The sequence below is a fragment of the Homo sapiens genome, chromosome 12, assembly GCF_000001405.40.
Source record: "Homo sapiens chromosome 12, GRCh38.p14 Primary Assembly".
NCBI lineage: Eukaryota > Metazoa > Chordata > Mammalia > Primates > Hominidae > Homo > Homo sapiens.
In genome coordinates, this window is record NC_000012.12 from 15,882,333 (window position 1) to 15,903,896 (window position 21,564).

Below are 21,564 nucleotides of genomic sequence, written 5' to 3' on the forward strand. Positions count from 1 at the left end.
GCGAGCCCGCCCTCCCGCCAATCGTCATTTCCGGCGGGTGCTCTGCGTCATTTACGTCGTCACTTCCTGCCGATGCCGGTGTGGACGCTGTGAATCGTGGCTGGCCCGGTTCTCCGCTTCTCCCCATCCCCTACTTTCCTCCCTCCCTCCCTTTCCCTCCCTCGTCGACTGTTGCTTGCTGGTCGCAGACTCCCTGACCCCTCCCTCACCCCTCCCTAACCTCGGTGCCACCGGATTGCCCTTCTTTTCCTGTTGCCCAGCCCAGCCCTAGTGTCAGGGCGGGGGCCTGGAGCAGCCCGAGGCACTGCAGCAGAAGAGAGAAAAGACAACGACGACCCTCAGCTCGCCAGTCCGGTCGCTGGCTTCGCCGCCGCCATGGCAATGAGACAGACGCCGCTCACCTGCTCTGGCCACACGCGACCCGTGGTTGATTTGGCCTTCAGTGGCATCACGCCTTATGGGTATTTCTTAATCAGCGCTTGCAAAGGTGAGCAAGGCCGCAATCCTGGTCCTCGACGGCTGGGACTGGGCTGAAAGGGATCGGGACCCGCACGCTCCAGTGCCGAAGCGGTGGTGTGGTGAGGGGGGAGGGGGCGATATTAACATCTGAGATGAGAGCCAACACTGGTCCGGTGGAGAAAGGAGTGTGTTAGGGAATCCGCAGCTGGAGCCGAGAGGACGCTTTTGTAGAAACTATTACCTCCAACTAAGACCTCTCTCCTTATTTTATTTTTATTGCTATTTTTGAAGGAGCTGGTCAGCATTTGCCTAGACTCTCGGGACAACACGGTAAATAGCTTTCAAGGATTTGGGGAAAGGAGAAATTAGGCCAGGCCGTGCAATACCTTACAAAGACGTTCGCTCTTGTCTCACTGGATATTCCTTTGTGGTATTAGCCTCATTTTTCAAATGGGAAACTGAGATTCAGGCTAAGATGTCTGTCCAAAATAAGACTAAAATCTAGATTGTTTTGACGCAGATCAGTATTCCCAGCCAATTACAGATGCTTTTCAGAGAGAATGATCTGTTCAGCTCTTCAGTTAATTTATTACTGCACATTCCTTAGTGCCTTCAGTGGGTGGTGGTAGTTAAATAGCTGAAACAATTTTTCCACTTTGTCATTGAACATCATTGTATATTTACATTTGAATCTTAGACTTTAAGTAATCTGAACTTATAAATTACATGTTTTAAAAAATATTTTCTAGATGGTAAACCTATGCTACGCCAGGGAGATACAGGAGACTGGATTGGAACATTTTTGGGTCATAAAGGTGCTGTTTGGGGTGCAACACTGAATAAGGATGCCACCAAAGCAGCTACAGCAGCTGCAGATTTCACAGCGTAAGTGTAGCCAAGATGGCTAACTTTGGTGTTCTCTGTAGCTTGTGTCCTGAAATAATCAAAAACTTCAGTGTCAGATATTCATAAAATTCTGACTCACTGGCTGCCATACAGAACGCATGTTTGATCCCACCAAAATTCCATCGTGGTCCATCGTGGTCCTGTGTGCTTCTTTGTCTTCAGTGGTTCTCAAAATTTTCAGAGGCCTAAATGACTTATTCCGTATATTTTGATTGAGACTCAGGAATCTGCATTAACAAACGCACCAGATAATGAATGTTGATCTCCTTTACGAATGCTGCTCTGTGTGTACTCCTTAGTGATATCCTACATTGATGGCCCTAGGTTTTTATTTCAATCCCGGTTTTTGTTAACTGGCTTTAGGCATCATTAAAACTCATTGTGTCAAAAACAAACAAACAAAAAAACAACAAAAAAACAAAACTCAGCTGCTCGTCATTTCCTAAGTTTTTAAAGGTTGAAATCTAAAGCATTCTTGATTTTCCCTTATATCTAGATTATCATCATCTTTTTTGATTCTGCCAGCGGGATGTCTCCTGACTCCAATGTTCCTTCATGTAGTAACTGTGGCTGCCTTAGTTCAGGATCATTTTTAACTTTCAGTAGTTTCTTTTCCTCCTATTCATTTTCCATATTGTTGCCAGTTGTCTTCCTAAAAACATACTTGATCATGTCACTTCTCTACTAATGATCTTCCTGTCTTCCCTTTGCCATTTTAGTAGTTCATGACCTTTGATGTACATTAGAATATCTGGAGAGCTTTTCAAATATTCAAATGGTATGAGTCCCAGAAATTCGGATTTTTAAAACTTTTTTTTTTTTTTACTTTTTTACTATATATTTATATTTTATACTTTTTACTACATTTAAAAATATTTTTTAATACTTTTTACTATACAGACAGTATCTAGCTATGTTGTCCAGGCTGTCTTAAACTCTTGGCCTCCATGCCTCAGCCTCTCAAAGAGCTGGGGTTACGGGGGTGAACTACTGTGCCTGGTACAGAAATTCTGGTTTGATTGGTCTGGGGATGGAGTACTGGTCATACTGATTATTGGTGTTTTTTTATTTTTCTTTCTTCCTTTTCTTTCCTGATGTGCAGTCATAGAATTGCTGACCTAAAGGACACATTTCAATTGTTGGCCCTTTACAGTTTGCTTCATCCTAGTTCATCAGCATCATCCTCTGCCATTGCACACCATAAACCTACAATCTAATTATACTAATCTTATTGTTGCCAGAATATACCTTACCTGTTCTGACTTTTGGCGGTTAATTATGTTATTAAACTGACTTGCAGTGGCCCTCGTTGCCTTTTTGGGAATGTATCATATTTTATAAATCTTGTTATCTCCAGTTCCTACTTGGTATTTGTAACTTAGGAATTTGACACTTCATTGTTTAAACTGATGAAGGCAATATCAAGAACTGTTGTGCATACACAGATTTATTAGACTTAAGAGGCTAGAGAGTACAAGTGGTGTTTTTTTTTTTTTTTTTTTTTTTTTAAAGACAGAGTCTTGCTATGTCCCCAAGGCTGGAGTGCGGTGGCACAGTCTCGGCTCACTGCAACCTCCACCTCCCGGGTTCAAGTGATTCTCCCACCTCAGCTTCCTGAGAGGCTGGGACTACAGGTGCACGCCACCACGCCTGGCTAATTTTTGTATATTTAGTAGAGACGGGGTTTCGCCATGTTGGCCAGGCCGGTCTCGAACTCCTGACCTCAAGTGATCTGCCCGCCTTGGCCTCCCAAAGTGCTGGGATTACAGGTGTGAGCCACCGTGCCTGGCCTTTTTTTTTTTTTTTTTTAACAACCTCACACTAAGGAGCAATTGTAAATCTGCTGCCTCCTTCATTTTAAGTACATTAAACATACCAATTTTAGAATGAAAAAATGAAGGCTGATTGACTGTGGTGGCAGATACGTGACTGTATGCTCTTGTTTATTGAAACAGTGTTGTTTTTATGCTTTCTTAACATTTCAAGTCTCAATGTCTGTGTTTACAAGTGGTGTATTAAGAGCATGAAGGCTGGAGCCAGATGACCTGAATTTGAATTGGTGGCCTCATGCACTTTATTTAACCATTTTTTTTTCTGTCATGGTACCTAATTCATAGGTTGGTTTTGAATATTAAATAAGTTAATATGTTTCGAATACTTACAACATTGCCTGAAGTCTATTACACCTATGAAAGTGTTACATATGTAAAGTAACGATGATAGCTACCATGTAAACTATCACCACCCGCACTTGATCAAAATCACATATTATTTTGAAACTAATATGGCTAAAGCCTTCAAACTATTTGGCCTCATATAAGGAAGATTGAATAGATTTAAATGTCAAGAAGGAAGATTTTTGTGATTTTTTTTTCCCCCTCCTCAGTTAAGGCTTTAGGTGCTGTGTTAGAGTGGAAAATAATAACAAGCATTGGCACTAGGTGGGCTTGCATTCGTGTGCTAACTATGCTGTGTATTTCCAGTTTGATCATCATAGGATTTTTTTTTTTTTTTGAAACAGGGTCTTAGGTGCCTAGGCTAGAGTGCAGTGGCGTGATCATAGCTCACTGCAGCCTCTATCTCCCAGTCTCAAGCAGTTCTCCAACCTCAGCCTCCTGAATAGTGACCACAGGCGTGTACTACCATGCTTGGCTAATCTTTGTGTTTTTTGTAGAGATGGGCTTCACCATGTTGTCCAGGTTGGTCTTGAACTCTTGGGCTCAAGCGATCTGCCCACCATGGCAGGATGTTTCTTAAATGTCGGCTTTCATATCTGTAAAATGGGACTAAGACCCATGAGATTATTGGAGGAACAGAGAGATCTTTCTCCACCATATATCCCTGAAGTCCAATATGATCTCTGTCACATAGTAGGTGCTCAATAAATGCTAGTTGAGATTTATCCCTCATTTCCTCTATGTCTTGTCTGTGGGGTGTAGGAGCGTGTTTTCATGTGCGTGTTTGTGTGTGTGTGTATTCTCTCCAAGAAGTTACTCCCCACAGCCTACCTGATTAGTCATGGTTGGTATAAAGCATTTTTAGAAACAATTTTTTTTTCCCTCCATTCTTACGTTTCTTGGAAAACTCATTTATGGTGTGGTCATTTAGAAGTGGAATTTGGTCCCGTTTCTTGTGGAGAAATTTAGCAGAATAGGTCTGTGGACTAGTGTAGAATGTTATCTTGGAGTAATTCGGGCAATTGAGTCCAGTGTTGAGTACAGTGTCCCTAAAACACCATCTCTTTGTATCTATTTGGGAAGAGTGCCAAAGTAAAGACAATTCTGTGCTGTGCTCCCAAGAGGGCTTAAGTAGATCTGGGATTGGGTCCAGGAATTTATAGGTAATCACAATGTATCACTCTTTCTTTCTTGTAAAGCCAATAGAAATATCTAATTTTAGTTTTAATAAGGTTCTTGATAAATCGAAAATGGTATTATCTCCTAGATGACTTGGTCAACATGTTAAGGTATTTGGGCAATTTTTTAAAAATCTTAAACTGGCCTGTTTTGTTGAAGGTTTAAATAAGTAAGTTAAGCAGCTCCTATTATGAGACTTACGGTAAGTTCATTCTGAGGATATGGAAAGTATCAGGCAGCATTATTATTTGCAAGAAACTGGGGTATAAGAGGTAACAGTAGTTTAAGGAGATGACAAGTACTTCGTGGGATGTGAAGAAAATGTTGGAGGGTTAGCTGCTGAAAGGGTATTGTTAATAGCGCTTTACTGTCTTGATTTGAGCCCTGTGGCCAACTAATATATGTCAATTTCTTGCCTGGAGATTGAATAATACATTAGGAAACATTTAGATTAGATCCATTTTAGGGCTCTTACTGTGAATAATGGAAATCTGCCAGAGTTAGTACATGCCCTGTCAGAAAATGTCATGCCTCTATTTTAGTACTGTTTCTAAATAGGAGGAAAAACTACAGACACATTACCTCTCTGGTTAATATTACTACTTTGGTCACTCCAACTCTCTTCTCACCTTTGAATAGACACAGTCTAAGCAGAATCTTAAGATTTTAGAGCTGCCATGTTGGCGTTAGCCTGTAGCTACTTAGGAGGCTGAGGTGGAAGGATCTTGAGGCCAGGAGTTCAAGTATAGCTTGGGCAATATACCAAGATCCTGTCTCAAAAAAAAAAAGAGAGAGAGGTTTTAAGTTTATGGGAGATTATTTAATAAACTTGAAATTAGCATATCAAAGGACATTGCCCGGGTTTCTTTGGAGACTTGTGAATAATTAGAATAGTAATTTTAGATACATTTGTTGTTTTCTTCACTTTTGATGCTTTCTGTCATTCTAATACTTGTGAACCCTTACCACAACCATGAAATGCATTTCACTGTGATTAAGGATATATGTAAACAAAAAACAAAGCAAATTTAAGCACCGTAATAAGTGGAGTTCTGTGGGAGAACAGAAAGGAATGGTTAATTATTGGAGTTGAGGATAAATAGTTTCAAAGAAAAGATAGCATTTGAAATGAGCCCTAAGGGTGAGTAGAACTTTAATAGCTAAGAATGTAAAATACAGACTTAAGAGAATAATATAAACAAGAACATAGGAGCCTGGAAGAAAATACGTAAGTTATTTGAGGAGTGGTTTATAATCTAGTGTTGCTAGATTCAGAGAAACAATACAAAATGAGGTTGGGAAAGTAGATTGGGGCCAGAGAGTTGCATTGGAATGACAGAGAGAGGAGCAAGTTTCCTGGGCAAAGAGAAATGAATACTAGGGAGTTTAGCAGCAAGGCTACTTATAGTTGACATTATTTCTTTCAGAACATATTTATTCAGCCACTCACATGACCCACATTATTAAATATTGCAAGCTTTGGTAGTGTATCATGAGCATTCCTGTTAGATGGTCTTTCATATTCATTAACCACATTGCACATGCTATTAATGCTTATCTAGAATAGCCTTCCCTTCTTTTTCCCCTGATATATTTCTCTTTGCTTCTTCCGACGGCTAGCTCTGTTACTTACATTTTCTGGACAATATCTAGGTGCTTTTTTCTGAGTTTTTATAGCCATATATATGTCTTTTAATTATATTTCTTAAATGTGATATTTAATGCATGTTTTTCTCCTCAGCTAAAGCTCTACTATGGCAAGAACCTACTGTGGGGTATTTTTTGTCTCCCATTTGTGCCTTAGCACTAAGTATAGAATGATATATATTTAATATATTTTATTATGTATTGGGGTAAGCAAAAGAAAAGATACATCTTGCTTTTCTCTGATTTTTTTCCCTCTACCATTTTATTGCCCACTGTGTTCCTGAAAATAAATAGCAGTTGCATTAAAATGGAAATCTCTATGGAACATAGCTTTTTCACTCTTAGCAATTCTTTTCCCTGTCTGCAAAGTTTTCTTGTTTATTTTTCACTGACCTGTTCTGATCTAAAATCAACTTTTTTTTCCCCCTTCCTTAAGCTTTTTTATTTGGGGGAACCCTTTTAGAGTAATTTTGTAAAGTATTGCTCAACTATTACCCGCCCAGAATATACATACACATATAAATGTATGTATACCTATAACCAACTTGTATTTTGGGGTGGGGTGGGACAGAAAAAACAATGTAAAGATTAAAATAGTCAGTGTTAGCATTATATAATCAAAGGCTGATAGTTTGGGGGAAGTTAACTGTACTAGAGTTTGAAATTTTAAGTCAGCTTTGAAGAAGAGATGAAGTGGACATTGTCTCTCCACTATCTTAATTTAAAATTTTACTTAGCCTGTACCAAGGCTTTTCATTCCCTTGTAACATTTTTAAGGATTTCTGGTTTTTTTATTTATTTTTATTTTTTATTGTGCATCTGAGTGGAGAATAGAGAAAAAATTGGCATGGTGAAACTAAAAATTGGTTAAAATGTATGACAGGCTTGCTAAAGGGATATTATGGCTGTCAGCTAAAATAAAAGTAAGGAGGATGGGTTGGTTCATGAATCTTACTTGCTTAAATTGTTCATATCTTTTCCACTGTCAAAGAAAATTAGATTGGTTATAAAGTTTTTACAGAGAAATTTCTTTTCCCTTAAGCTTATTTAAATATTTTATCAAATGAAGTCTGTGAGGGATATTAGAGATAAAGGAGATTTATAATACATTTATGTAACATTTCACATATCTAACTTATTTGGTACTCATCAATATTATAATTGTATTTATCCTTTTAATATATTGGGTAATATTTATCCTACTAATTTTCTCTTTTTTACTTTTAGCAAAGTGTGGGATGCTGTCTCAGGAGATGAATTGATGACCCTGGCTCATAAACACATTGTCAAGACTGTGGATTTCACGCAGGTATCAGAAAATGGAATTTATTTTAGCGAGTTAAGTTGCTGGTACATAGTGTGATAATGCTTTTATACTTGATTGGTGTGTATATTTGATTGATATGTTTTGTGTGGAATATTTGTTATTTCTTGGTTCATATTTGATTTGATTGTGTATTAAGCTCTATGAATTTGTTTCATAGTTAATCCTGTCAAGCTTTTAAGATACTGTGGAACGAGTACCAGTCCTTCAACATGTAAAAAACATCTGAAAAGCTCAAGTAGCCTTCCCCAACTACTAATAGAAGGGAGAAGATAAATTTGAGATAATCAGAAAAGGGCCTCTCACAAGGGAGAGGAGTAGGATCAGGGGAGAATGGGAGAGTTCATGTATATGTAGTGTAGTGTAACGCTTTTGAAGTGGAAAGCTTACAAGTCTTGGCAGTTATGAGAGGTCAGCTGTTCCACAGTATCTTCTCAGAAGTAATTGGTTATGTCTTGGCATCTCTTTGTGATGTCTGTGAGCTAGATTTTGATTTTATTTGGTGTTGAAATTTGAAAGAGAAATAACTATTAAAATGGTTAATCTATTCACATTTTACTTTGTGTTTTCAGGATAGTAATTATTTGTTAACCGGGGGACAGGATAAACTGTTACGCATATATGACTTGAACAAACCTGAAGCAGGTAAGCATAATTTAAACATCAGCTTCTAGTTTTATTTTCTTTTAATTTAAATAACTGATTAAAGAATTTCATGCTCAGTACTCAAATTTGGAAAATAAAGATAGTCATGGCCGGGCACGGTGGCTCATACCTGTAATCCTAGCACTTTGGGAGACTGAGGCGGGTGGATCACTTGAGGTCAGGAGTTCGAGACCAGCCTGGCCAACATGGCAAAACCCCGTCTCTATTAAAAATAGAAAAATTAGCCAGGCATGGTGGCAGGCGCTTGTAATCCCAGCTACTTGGGAGGCTGAGGCAGGAGAATCGCTTGAACCCGGGAGGTGGAGGTTGCAGTGAGCCGAGATTGCGCCACTGCACTCCAGCCTGGGCAATAAGAGTGAAACTCAGTTTCAAAAAAAAAAAAATAGTCAACAAAGAAGAAAATTAAAACGTAATTCATCAGTTTTTGGTTTATAAACTTTCAGTCTTTTTTTCTGCACAGTTTTTAAAAAATAAGTTTATTTGCTATGTTGCTATTGTATAACCTTCTTCCAAACTGAAAATTTATTATGGCAAATTTTTATCATTAAGTTTTAAAACAGTGCAGAACAGTGTTACTATTTTTTGGTAAGAAAGATTGGTTATTTATAGAAGTTGGTGATGGTGAGAATTCTCAGTTGTGTGCACATATTGCTTAGATTTTTGAACCATGTAAATATATTAGCTATTCGAAAGAATTTTAAAAAATCTGCAGTTACAGTTTTTTCATTTCACTAAATAGTCTATGAACTGTTTGTAATGACTTTCTGGTTTTCCATCCTGTGGTTATATCATAAGTGAATTAACTAGTTTCCTGTTTTGGCCCGTTTGGGCTACTTACAGATTTTAAATATGAAAAGCAGTATTATGCTAAACATCCTTACAGTTGCAAATATTTTCACAATGATTTCCTTAAGATAACTAAGCAAAAGTAGAATTGGTGGGACAAAGAGGAGTGGAATTGTTGGAAGGTGGCCGGGCGCAGTGGCTCACGCCTGTAATCCCAGTGCTTTGGGAGGCCAAGGTGAGTGGATCACCTGAGGTCAGGAGTTCAATACCAGCCTGGCCAACATGGTGAAACCCCATCTCTACTAAAAGTACAAAAAAATTAGCTGGGCATGGTGGCAGGCGCCTGTAATTCCCAGGTACTCAGGAGGGTGAGGCAGGAGAATCGCTTGAACCCGGGAGGTAGAGGTTGCAGTGAGCCGAGATTGCATACCAGCCTGGGGGACAAGAGCAAAACTCCTTCTCAAAAAGAAAAAAAAAAAATGAATTGTTGGAAGCCATTGATAGATACTACCAAAGTGTCTTCCAACAAAGTATGGGTATATATGTATGTATCTATACCCAACATGTTCTAGTGAGCACTGATAACTAACTTTCTCTTTGTCAATTTAAGAAAATAATTCTGTTGTATTAATGTGAATATTCATGAGATTAAAATGCTATTGAATACCATTTTAATATATTCCCTTTTTTATGGAATAATTGCCTGTCTACCTTTTGTCCATTTATCTGTTGTGTTATTCATGTTTTTCTTACTGGTTTTTAAAGGTTCTTTATTGAATTCTAATTTATCATTTGCTTTTAAATTTTGTTAAGGTGGTTTTATGGTATATATGTTTTTAACATTTTGGTGGTGAAATTCTTTATGCATTCTCTCATTTTACAGAAGTTATAGGTGTCTTCCCCAGTCTACATGTTTATTTTATAATATTTTAATAATTTCCCTCACCATATATATACTTAGCTACCAAAACATGACAAACATAATTTTGTTTTATTATATATTTGGTATCTTTCAGATTTTATTATGTGGACATTTATGTAGTCATAAATCTATAAAATTTTAAAGAGTAATAAGAGAGTCAGAACCACATTGGAAATTAAGCGGTTATTCTCTTGAGATACCTTCCATTTCTGAGAACTTTTTAAAATATTTTACATTTTAATGTTACAGTAATTTGTTATGAAAACATTTTTAAGGTGAGGAAACAAAGCGCATTTGCAGATTTTTTTATTCTCCATTGCATGTAGAAGTTTTTTTCTCCTTTCTTTTTTGATAAATCTATGCCAAAACATAGCAAAGGACTCTGACCTCACTTCTTCTATGAACCCATTCAACAAAGCAAGGTAGTTCAGGGATTGGGTCAAAGCAAGGTAGTTCAGGGATTGGGTTGACATTTTTCATGCTCTTTACCTTTCCCAAAGCTGTTTTATGAAAGTTGCTCTTTCGCTGTGCTGGCAGCAGAAAATAAAATGAGGTTTTACTGTGTATCGGGTATCTGTTAAGCCCTATTCGCATTTGTAACCATTGTTATCTCATTTTACAGATGAGGAAATAAAGTTAAAAAGTTAAGTAACATGCCCAAAGGTGAAAATAGTGTTGAATGGCATTGCCTCCAGTGTCTGCTTTTGCCCCTAGAGACAGCAGTGAGGGTTTTTTGAAGTTCTTCGAAAGGATAATCTCCTACAGATTTAAGCTCCCTTCCTTTTTTTTTATGTTTTCCTCACAGTGTAGAAACATTCTTGGGAATTGCTGTCCCACTTTCTATTTCCCTTTTTTCCTTCCAACCCTTATTTCTCATTATTTACTATCAATAGCTGCTTGGATAAACGTCCCAGAGTTAGCCATAGTACTGCAATCAGATTCAACTGTTTTGTTCCTGAGTCCGTGTTCTTATTAAATTATGCCACGTTAATTATTTTATTAATAATATAATAAATACTTTTTATTATATATAAAATACTTTTTATTTATTATACATATAATAAATATATACTTTTTATTATATATAAAATTCTTTTTATTATACATATAATAAATATATACTTTTTATTTATTATACAATAATGCTTTTATATTTATTATACTTATACAATTATACAATAATGCTTTTATATTATACAATAATATTTGTATTATTGTACAAATAAATATTGTATATTATACAATAATGCTTTTATATTTATTATACTTATACAATTATACAATAATGCTTTTATATTTATTATACATATAATAAATATAAAATACTTTTTATTTATTATACAATAATGCTTTTGAATATTATCAGTTGTGCAGAAATTTAGCCTAGAGGGAGTGAGTGGTGCATTCACTCAGCTACATATAGCAAGCATGGTAGTTCCTTGGGTCCCTGTCATGCAGATAAATTTATGTTCCAATATAGAAAAACTAACTGTATTCTATATAAACATCAAGTTTGAATTGGGCTGGGCTTTGAAAAGTTGCAGTCTAATTTAAAATGTGTGTTTTTAAAAATATATAATTGTTCCGATATTGTTCAGTTTAAAAAATCATATATTAACAAATGTACTTTAAATTGTTTTATCTCAAGAACCTAAGGAAATTAGTGGTCATACTTCTGGTATAAAAAAAGCTCTGTGGTGCAGTGAGGATAAACAGATTCTTTCTGCTGATGACAAAACTGTTCGGTAAGTAATTTTTCTTTAATAATTTACAATTTAAGGCCGGGCATGGTGGCTCACGCCTATAATCTCAGCACTTTGGGAGGCGAGCCGGGTGGATCATTAGAGGTCAGGAGTACTAGACCAGCCTGGCCGACATGGCGAAATACTGTCTCTATGAAAATTACAAAACTTAGCCAAGCGCGGTGGCACACACCTATAATCCCAGCTACTCGGGAGGCCGAGGCAGGAGAATCACTTGAACCTGCGAGGCAGAGGTTGCGGTGAGTCGAGATCGTGCCATTGCACTCTAGCCTGGGCGACAGAGCTAGACTGTCTCAAAAGAAAAACAAACTTAAAATTTGCAAAATATTTTACCTTAGAGCTTATATTTTAAATACATTTAATATTATGTGTGAAAAATGTTCTGAACATTAAAATTTAAGTTGCACCCAGGTCACATTTATCTGGAGCTATCTATTTACTAATACAGGTTGAGTATCCCTAACCTGAAAATCTGAAATTTGAAACGCTCTGAAATCTGAGACTTTGAGTGCCGACTTGATGCTTAAAGGAAATGCTCATTGGAGCATTTTGAATTTCCTATTTTCAGGTTAGGAATTCTCAGTTGGTAAGTGTCTAATGCAAATATTCCAAAATCCGAAAAAGTTTGAAATCCAACTTTTTTCTGGTCCCAAGTATTTTCAATTAAGGGATGCTCACCTTGTGTATACAGACAGCAAAATTCAGAAGAAAATTAAATTGCTGATACCTTATAAGCAGGTGTTTTTAACCTGGGTCTGTGGGCAGAATGGTTAAAGGGAGGGACCATGAAGCCTCTGAAATTCTATACAAAATCTTGTGTGCTGACACCTGATGTATATTTCTTTGGAAAGATGTGTAGCTATTACTAGATTCACAAAAACAGAGTGTAAGAACCACTATTTATAGCAATGCTGAAATTGACTAGATTAGAACTTGTCTTAATAATGTAGTTTTGCCAAATTGGGAAGTGTATGTAGGTATTAAAGTTGATTTTACTTACAAGCTATCATGCATAATTTGACATTGTATATAGAAACCCAGAATTTTTTTTAATCATCTGTAATTTGTGACTTGGAATGAATGTTGTTTTTCTGTAATTGTGATTGTTCTTTCGTTGGCTAATCTGCAGATGTAATTAGAATTTATAAACTTTTTTCTTACATGAGTAAACATCATATTTTTATCTTTATTTTGCAGACTTTGGGATCATGCTACTATGACAGAAGTGAAATCTCTAAATTTTAATATGTCTGTTAGTAGTATGGAATATATTCCTGAGGGAGAGATTTTGGTTATAACTTATGGACGATCTATTGCTTTTCATAGTGCAGTAAGGTATGTCCAAGAAATACTTTCATTTTCTTTTTTAGGTAACAAAAGACATTTTGGCTACTTAAAAATGGGAAGGTATTTACTTTTTTTAAAAGTAAAGAGGCCAGGAGTGGTGGCTTATGCCTATAATCGCAGTACCTTGGGAAGCTGAGGTGGGAGGATGGCTTGAGATCAGCCTGGGCAACACAGTGAGACCCCCATCTCTACAAAAAATAAAATTAGCTGGGTGTGGTGGCACACGCCTGTAGTCCAGCTGCTTGGGAGGCTGAGGTGAGTATTCTATTGCTGGAGCCTGGGAGGTTGAGGCTGCATTTTGCTGTGATCTTGACACTGCACTCCAGTCTGGATGACAAAGCAAAACCTCCTCTGAAAAAAAAAAAAAAAAAAAAGCAAAAACTACTGAAATGGTGCTGTCATTAATGTTTTTTACTATATAAAACCAGTGTGGGCTGGGCGTGGTGGCTCACGTCTGTAATCCTAGCACCTTGGGAGGCTGAGGTGGGCGGACCACTTGAGGTTAGGGGATTGAGACCAGCCTGGCCAACATGGTGAAACCCCGTCTCTAAAATAAAAATACAAAGAGAAGAAAAATTAGCTGGGTGTGGTGGTGAGTACCTGTAATCCCAGCTACTTGGGAGGCTGAGGCAGGAGAATTGCTTAATCCCAGGAGGTGGAGGTTGTTTTGAGCTGTGGTCACACCACTGCATTCCAGCCTGGGTAACAGAGTGAGACTCTGTCTCAAAAAAAACAAAAAACAAAAAAACAGTGTGATCTTGATTCTACTATTTATTTTCACCTTAAAGTTTTAGAGAAGGAATAATCTTATTTCTGTTCCTGAGTATTTGCAGACTTAATGAATTTTTTAAACAGATTTGAATTTTGCGACTTTAAATGTAGTAAATACTCTTGGAGAAAGACTGGAATATATAACATAATTGAAAAAAATGTACCCACAATATTATACCCATAGGTGCAAGAGTGATAATGGTAGTTATATTTTCTGCTAGTCCATTTTTCTATGTTATATATGTGGGTGTACAGTATTTGTGTTTTTTTTTTTAATTACTAGGACCATAATGAATACCATTTTGATTTGTTTAAAAATATTGTTAGCCATTTAAAACTTCTTTGAAAACATTTTTACTTGATACACTGTATTTGCATCATAGGTTGTACTAAATTATGGGTTAGTTTCCCTGTTTTAGCACCACGGTGAATGTTCTAGCACATCTCTGAGTGTTTCTTTACAGTAGATAGGATCCTGTAAGTAGAATTATCAGTTCAAAGGCTAGAAATGAGTTTAAAGTTCTTAGTTATACATGACACTTAATTGATTTCCATAAGGATTATACCACATTACACTTTGATATTTGACCAGTGTCTTAACCTTGTGTCTAAAGGGCTAACTGGGAGAAAGAAAAGGCGGTAAAATTGGAGGAGAGCAATTAAGCAATGTCAAGGAGTTTATACACATACAGTAAACTGATAGTAGTAGAATACTATGGCCTGGAGCCATCAATTGGTTTATTAATGCTCTTCACTCACTCCTGCAGTTAGGCAAATCCCATGTTGGTGGCAGAAATTTTCTGGACCATTGAATATTCTAGCATTTGAGCCAGCAAGTTGCTATGTAGTGATCCTGCATAAGTCATGACTAACTTTAATTAACATGCTTTAAAGTATATGATGATGGGAAGTATTTAGGAGCTGGGATACTATAATGTTTTGTATTGGAGGCCTTTCATGATTTTTAGGGTTAAACTGAAAAAGCTAATGTCCAAACTGTAATTGAATTTCAGATGAAGCTGTTATTATGCATTGATTTTTATTATATAACTATAGCCCCAAATTTTGTTAGTCTTTTACTGCCTTATAGTAGAAACTGTTTTCAGCAGTTTATATTTTATGACATAGAAAGTTTATCTTGCTGAGGAGCTTAAACCTTCAGCAATTAATAATAATATATAAATAATCCTTTATGTTAATTACCTACTGTGAAAACTTTTTCTGTTTACAAAGATAATATGTGGTTGTAGAAAAATGAAACAATACAGGTGAAGTTTATTTAAGAGCAAAAATCCCAGTGTATTATTCATACTGTTTTAATTAGCCAACACACTCATTTCCGGGAAGACATCCACTGCATAAACTGGATATCCCTCCATCAAGATGTCTTTGTATTGCTGAGATGAGCTCCACTTGGGCATAGTATCCATTTGATTTTTTTTTTTTTTTTTTTGCTAACAGCTTTTTTTACATCAGTGTTTATGTTTGAGTAAATGAGTATTTAATTGTTCCTTGGGTTTCAGAATTTAAGAACAGTTCAAATGTAACTCGTTATTTATACCATATTCAAGATTTGTAAATACTACTTAAATTTTTTTTCAGTTTGGACCCAATTAAATCCTTTGAAGCTCCTGCAACCATCAATTCTGCATCTCTTCATCCTGAGAAAGAATTTCTTGTTGCAGGCGGTGAAGATTTTAAACTTTATAAGTATGATTATAATAGTGGAGAAGAATTAGGTGAGTTGTCCCCTTACAGTGATGTGGTTACCTTTATCATATGTTAAGTCCCAGTAATTAACACCTCATTTATATATATATATATGTTACATATATATGTTGAAAGTAAATTTTTCAGCTAACTTAAGCTTGGTGCTTACAAGTGAAAAAGTAAAGGAGTTTTAACCATTTGGGTCAGATGCTTTTATAGATCTGTAAACAAAGTATGCAGAAATTTATCCTTTTAACTAAAGTTCATCATTATGCTGATGTTATGTATTATGGTACAGTGAGTTTTAGGCTTTATTGGCTGGGAGGGAGGGGGGAATCTTATGTCAAAGTCATATGCTAAACACATGCAAGGAGATCCGTTCTTTCTGAACTATGTTGTGGGTGTATAACCCCATCTACTTGGCCCGTCTTCCTTTTTGCCAACTTAGGAATTCCTAAGACTCCGTAAAGAACAGTGTGTGGGGGAAAAATCAGTATAGCATATTACAGGGATACCTTTAGGAATCTGAATTGGATAGTTATTTTTATCAGCTTTTTATTTATTCTGTTTTGGAGTTTGAGTTTTGCTTTCATTTTCATGATAACAGTCCTTAGTAAGGGAAAGGGAAAGGCATGGGGATTAATTTGAAGTTAATGTATATTTATCTGATGGACCAGGTATTTCACATAGTTACATGTGGTTCTCAGTATCTACTTTTAGCCTTTCCAAATAGTTTTTGCTTTTAGGTCAAAAATATGTTTAGTTTTTATAAATATATATTTTTATCTATAAGCTGTCTCTTCTTGTTCTTGTCTGTTTCTAGCTGCCCTGCTTTACCAAAGAACGAAGCTTGCTAGATTACACCCAAAGAACAAAAGACAATTTTACGTTTTGTTTCTTGGGGAACATTGATGCATCTGGGTTGCACAAATGGAACCTTGGTGATGGACCATGTAGAATCTATTTTAATTGCTTATGGTTCAGTTTTTATTACTTGAATACAAGTGATTTATAAATAAGATATTCTTTTCTGTTACTTTTATTTAATGCTAGTTTTCAAAGTTTTAGAATGTTTTTGGTTTCATATTTTATTCTTTTTCAAGATTGAGAGAACTGAATTATTTGCCCAAGATCTGAAGTCACAGTGAATACCAGATCTGCCTAGCCTTTCTCTTTCCAAAACCTTGTGTTCTTTGTACTCTTACAACTTTTCTATTCTCTGGTGGGACACAGATGGGAGACAGAATAGGAACATTGGTCTAGTAAAGGGCTTTGAGAACTAATAAGGTGATGAGGCATTAGAAAGTAAATGAGAAAGGTTCATACTTAAAGGTACTACTTGAATATAACAGTGCTCCTAATCTATACATTTTCTCATTAGGTTCCATGGATTAAAATATTTATGGATCATTGTTGATCTATATCTCACCTTTCTGTGTGACAGAATAATTAGTGGACTGTAGGAAATTAAGAGGCAAAGTGTGTAAAAGAGCTCCACCTGGTGGCTCTCTATAGTCATAATAAAAATTGATTCCCTGAGAAATAGGCAGTGAGTTTTAGGATATGGAAATTGGAGGTTGAACTGGTAAGACTTTAAATCTACTTTCTATAGAATTAATGGGGTTTTCATTTACCTCTTTTTCTCCATCCTTAATGAGACATGAAGCCTCATTTGCTTTTTTTAGAGGGACAGTTTGAAACTAGAATGTGTGCTAGATTTGGAAAGGAATAATCTTACAGAGAAAGGGTCAATGATATACCACTTTTGTGATGAGAAATTAATTAAGTACAGGTTTTAATGTTTGCCTTAAGAATTTTCCATCTCCCCAGTAACACAGACAGTATTTTTTTTTTTTAGCATATCAATATTTAACCTAATAGTTAAAATTATCTAATAGCCCTCTTCTTTTTCAGAATCCTACAAGGGACACTTTGGTCCTATTCACTGTGTGAGATTTAGTCCTGATGGAGAACTCTATGCCAGTGGTTCAGAAGATGGAACATTGAGACTATGGCAAACTGTGGTAGGAAAAACGTATGGCCTTTGGAAATGTGTGCTTCCTGGTAAGAATTTTTATTCAGAATAATAAAATTTTTAAAATGCATGATTTTATGTCATTTTTAATCATTAATTTTATTTCAGGGTTCCTGTTTTCTATAAATTTTAAATTATATATTATGGTTTAAGCAGCGAGAAGCCCAGGATTATAAATTGGCCAGAGAAAGGGTCATGTTCCTTTGTTTAAATTTTTTTTGGTATGGCTGGGCACGGTGGCTCACGCCTGTAATCCCAGCACTTTGGGAGGCTGAGGCGGGCGGATCACAGGGTCAGGAGTTCGAGACCAGCCTGGCCAACATGGTGAAACCCCATCTCTACTAAAAATACAAAAATTAGCCAGGTGTGGTGGTACATGCCTGTAATCCCAGCTACTCAGGAGGCTGAGGCACGAGAATTGCATGAACCCAGGAGCCATGCATTGAGCTGAGATCACGCCACTGCACTCCAGCCTGGGCAAGAGTGACTCAGTCTCAAAAAAAAAAAAAAGAAAAATTTGTTGTACAATCTAGTCTGTTCCTAAATTTTTATACTAGCACATTTTGTGGCTGGAATAGATCTAATTCAAAATTTGCTGGAAGGCAATATAAAGAATTTACAAGTAAATGTATCTAATCTCTGAATAGTATTACTCACTGATCCACACCAATAAAGATAGACATGTTCTTAATAAAAAATACCTAGTTACTAATCCCTAAGTAGTTGCAGTATGAACCTAAAAGTAATTTTAAAGAAAGACATACTATTTTTAGAATCACAGTTATTTAAAAAGGAGTTGTTTTTATTATATTTTGTAGCCATTTTCCTGGAATAGTCTTATGTTGCTCTTCTTGCTTATTGAACACTGGAAATTACTTTAATAGTGTAAGTCATATAATCGTCATTGCTTTTCTTTTTACAGAAGAAGATAGTGGTGAGCTGGCAAAGCCAAAGATTGGTTTTCCAGAGACAACAGAAGAGGAGCTAGGTAAATGCTATGGAATTGACTTTTGTAAGAGTCTTGGGGGATTTAAAATTGAACTGTAACAGAAGTTTTACTCATTGGCAGAAGAAATTTATTAAATATGAACATATTTAAATAATGGAAACTTTAAATATTTATGCATGTATATATACATATTTATAAGCTAAATATTTAAATACCTACTGCATAGTAGTAATAGGCACAGAGATGTAGTATGGACACAACCGATGTGGTTACTCTTTCAGAGCTAGAGTCTAACTTAGGAGACATGCCAAAACACAAATTATTGTAAGGGGGATTAAAAAAAGCTTCCTAGAGAAGTGACATTTAAACTGGGAACTAAGGATGAGCAGAAATGATTTAGGTGAGGTCATGAGAGGGGGTGTTGGTAGGGACAGGATGGAAAAGTTCATAGCAGGAAAACTATGTTAACTAAAAGTTCAGAACCAAAAAGGAGCATAGCATATGAGGAACTAAAAGAACTTCTCCATGCCTCCAGGTTAAAGAGCAAAGGCAAAGTGAAGCTGGAGAAGCTAGATCATCTGAGGGCCTCATTTGCTGTATTAGGACTTGGAGAGTTTTATACTAAGAGCAATGAGAAACCTTTGAATTTTAAGAAGAGGACTTTAAAAGATTGCCTTGGTAGTTCAAGACCAACCTGGCCAACATGGTGAAACCCTGTCTCTACTAAAAATACAAAAATTAGCCGGTCATGGTGGCAGATACCTGTAATCCCAGCTATTTAGGAGGCTGAAGCAGGAGAGTAGCTTGAACCCAGGAGGTAGAGGTTGCAGCGAGCCGAGATTGCGCCACTGCACTCCAGCTTGGGTGTCAGAGAGAGACTCTGTCTCAAAAAAAAAAAAAAAAAAAAGGTTGCCTTGGCTGTTGCACGTACAAAGAATTGGACTGGGAACAAGAGTGAACATAAACCAGTTAGGGGGCATTGTAGTCTAGATGAGTGATCATGTAGGTTTTGTTTTGTTTTGAGATGGAGTCTTGCTCTGTTGCCCAGGCTGGAGTGCAGTGGCATGATCTCGACTCACTGCAGCCTCCGCCTCTGGTTTCAAGCAATTCTCCTGCGTAAGCCTCCTGGGTAGTTGGGATTACAGGTGCACCACCACGCCTGGCTAATTTTTGTATTTTTAGTAGAGATGGGGTTTCACCATGTTGATCAGGCTGGTCTTGAACTCCTGACCTCATGATCTGCCCACCTCGGCCTCCCAAAGTGCTGGGATTACAGGCGTGAGCCACTGCACCCGGCCTATCATGTAGTTTTTAATAAGGGTATTGCAATGAGAACAGAAAAAGGTAGATGGAGTTGAGAGTCTTTTGTTAGACTTGTTAGAATTGTGAGATTGATGAGTGGGGGTATCATGAGGAAGAAATATGCAGATTGCTGCCATGAGAAACTGGGTATGATGATTTTGGGGGAGGTTGGGAAGGTGTTTACCATTTACCCAATAGAGTTTTCCTTAAATTTTTTATTGTTAAGCACCTTCTTGCTAAAACAATGTTGATGGTTAATGTTTTGCTTTAAATAGCACTAAATATTAGGATTTGAATCACTAAAAGAGAGGGCCAGATCCTTCGAAGACATGACTTTAATTCCGGGTTTGTTATATAGCTGGAGTCTTTGAAAATTTAGGCCAGAAAGGGACCCTTGGAGGTTGAGTTATGGTGTAAGAGAATCTAGTGGATAAAACACATGAACTCTTTCTTCTTTGCCTTTTCAATGACATGAGTCTAGTTGTTAGTGGCATGTGCAGTTGCTCTCTTCTTTCCCTTACCACAGTATGCTTTACAAACACTTTTTCATTCCTTCATTACACAGAAATGTAGATTTGCTTCTTTCTTTCATTAAGTTGACTAATGTGACTTTTTTTTTTTTTTTTTTTTTTTACTTATAGAAGAAATTGCTTCAGAGAATTCAGATTGCATCTTTCCTTCAGCTCCTGATGTTAAGGCCTGAGCGTCAATCATATGTGCAGTTAGTATACAACTGACTAAAACAAGCAAGCAGAGAAAAGCATCAGCCTTCCAGAGTTACTGTCTGCTTAAGGCAGAAACAGCAGTAAATAATGAGGAAAATGAATTAGCTCCAGTGCTGGAACAACTAACTAACTTGGTGTTACCTGTAAGTGAAAACTCAAGTGTCAGATGAAGGGAGGTGGAGTTATCCTCTTATAGTACAGTGGCCTGTTATCTTTTTAATGAATATATACAAGCCAACATCCAATTTCTATTATTACAATTAGGGTTCTTGTAGCTGTTTATGTTAATATGGAGAAGAAAACTATATTGGCTGATTTTTTCTGATCTTAAAGCAGAATGCCTTTTCTTTTTTTGCTTCAGTTGTAAAGAAGAGGGAATACATGATAAAGTAACTGGTTTGATTTCTCGTTCATTGTACACTGCCTCTGAACATCTAATTGTTTTTAGTTGTCTAAATAAAATGCCTCTAAAACAAAACAATGTTTGGTTTTTTTGGGGAAAAACTACTAATGTGAGTTTTATAAGTGGAAATAGCCAGAAGGTTTTTCTGTATCATAACCATAGCAAAAGGTAAGCCAATTAATCTGTAGTAAACATTATTTTATAATATTGAGATTCAGTTACTTGTCCTGAATTTTTGAAATTCTTATGTCCTTTACTAGTGTTTCATTTACCTTCTCTATTCCCAGATTGGATAGAAGTGCTTGACATGCCTTTTTAAACAATTATTTAAATAATACATGCTAGTTATAAGAAAAAAAAAATCAACTGAAATTTAGCAGTAAGCTGAAAGATCACTTAAAATCCTACCACTCCTCAAAAAACTATTAAAATCAAATGACCATGAATGCATGTTAGGGCATCTCTGTATGTATATACAGATAGATAGAATGGA

General features: G+C 36.4%; 1 protein-coding gene across 1 annotated transcript, besides 1 other annotated feature; it reads left to right on the plus strand.

The window, feature by feature from the left end:
* Positions 13 to 132: an enhancer, noted in NCBI's record as "active region_6072". NCBI's record gives its function as "activates an Ori minimal core promoter by ATAC-STARR-seq in GM12878 lymphoblastoid cells {active_cell/tissue: GM12878}" and the evidence as "EXISTENCE:reporter gene assay evidence [ECO:0000049][PMID:35858748]".
* On the plus strand, positions 55 to 21,146 carry STRAP (serine/threonine kinase receptor associated protein). The gene is made up of 10 exons (NM_007178.4): positions 55 to 487; positions 1,209 to 1,344; positions 7,596 to 7,677; positions 8,265 to 8,337; positions 11,715 to 11,811; positions 13,027 to 13,164; positions 15,550 to 15,686; positions 17,572 to 17,721; positions 18,615 to 18,680; positions 20,585 to 21,146. Exons 1-10 carry the CDS (start codon positions 376 to 378, stop codon positions 20,644 to 20,646), a joined length of 1,053 nt encoding a protein of 350 aa, NP_009109.3. The 5' UTR covers positions 55 to 375; the 3' UTR covers positions 20,647 to 21,146.
* Positions 21,147 to 21,564: the final 418 nt, after the last annotated feature.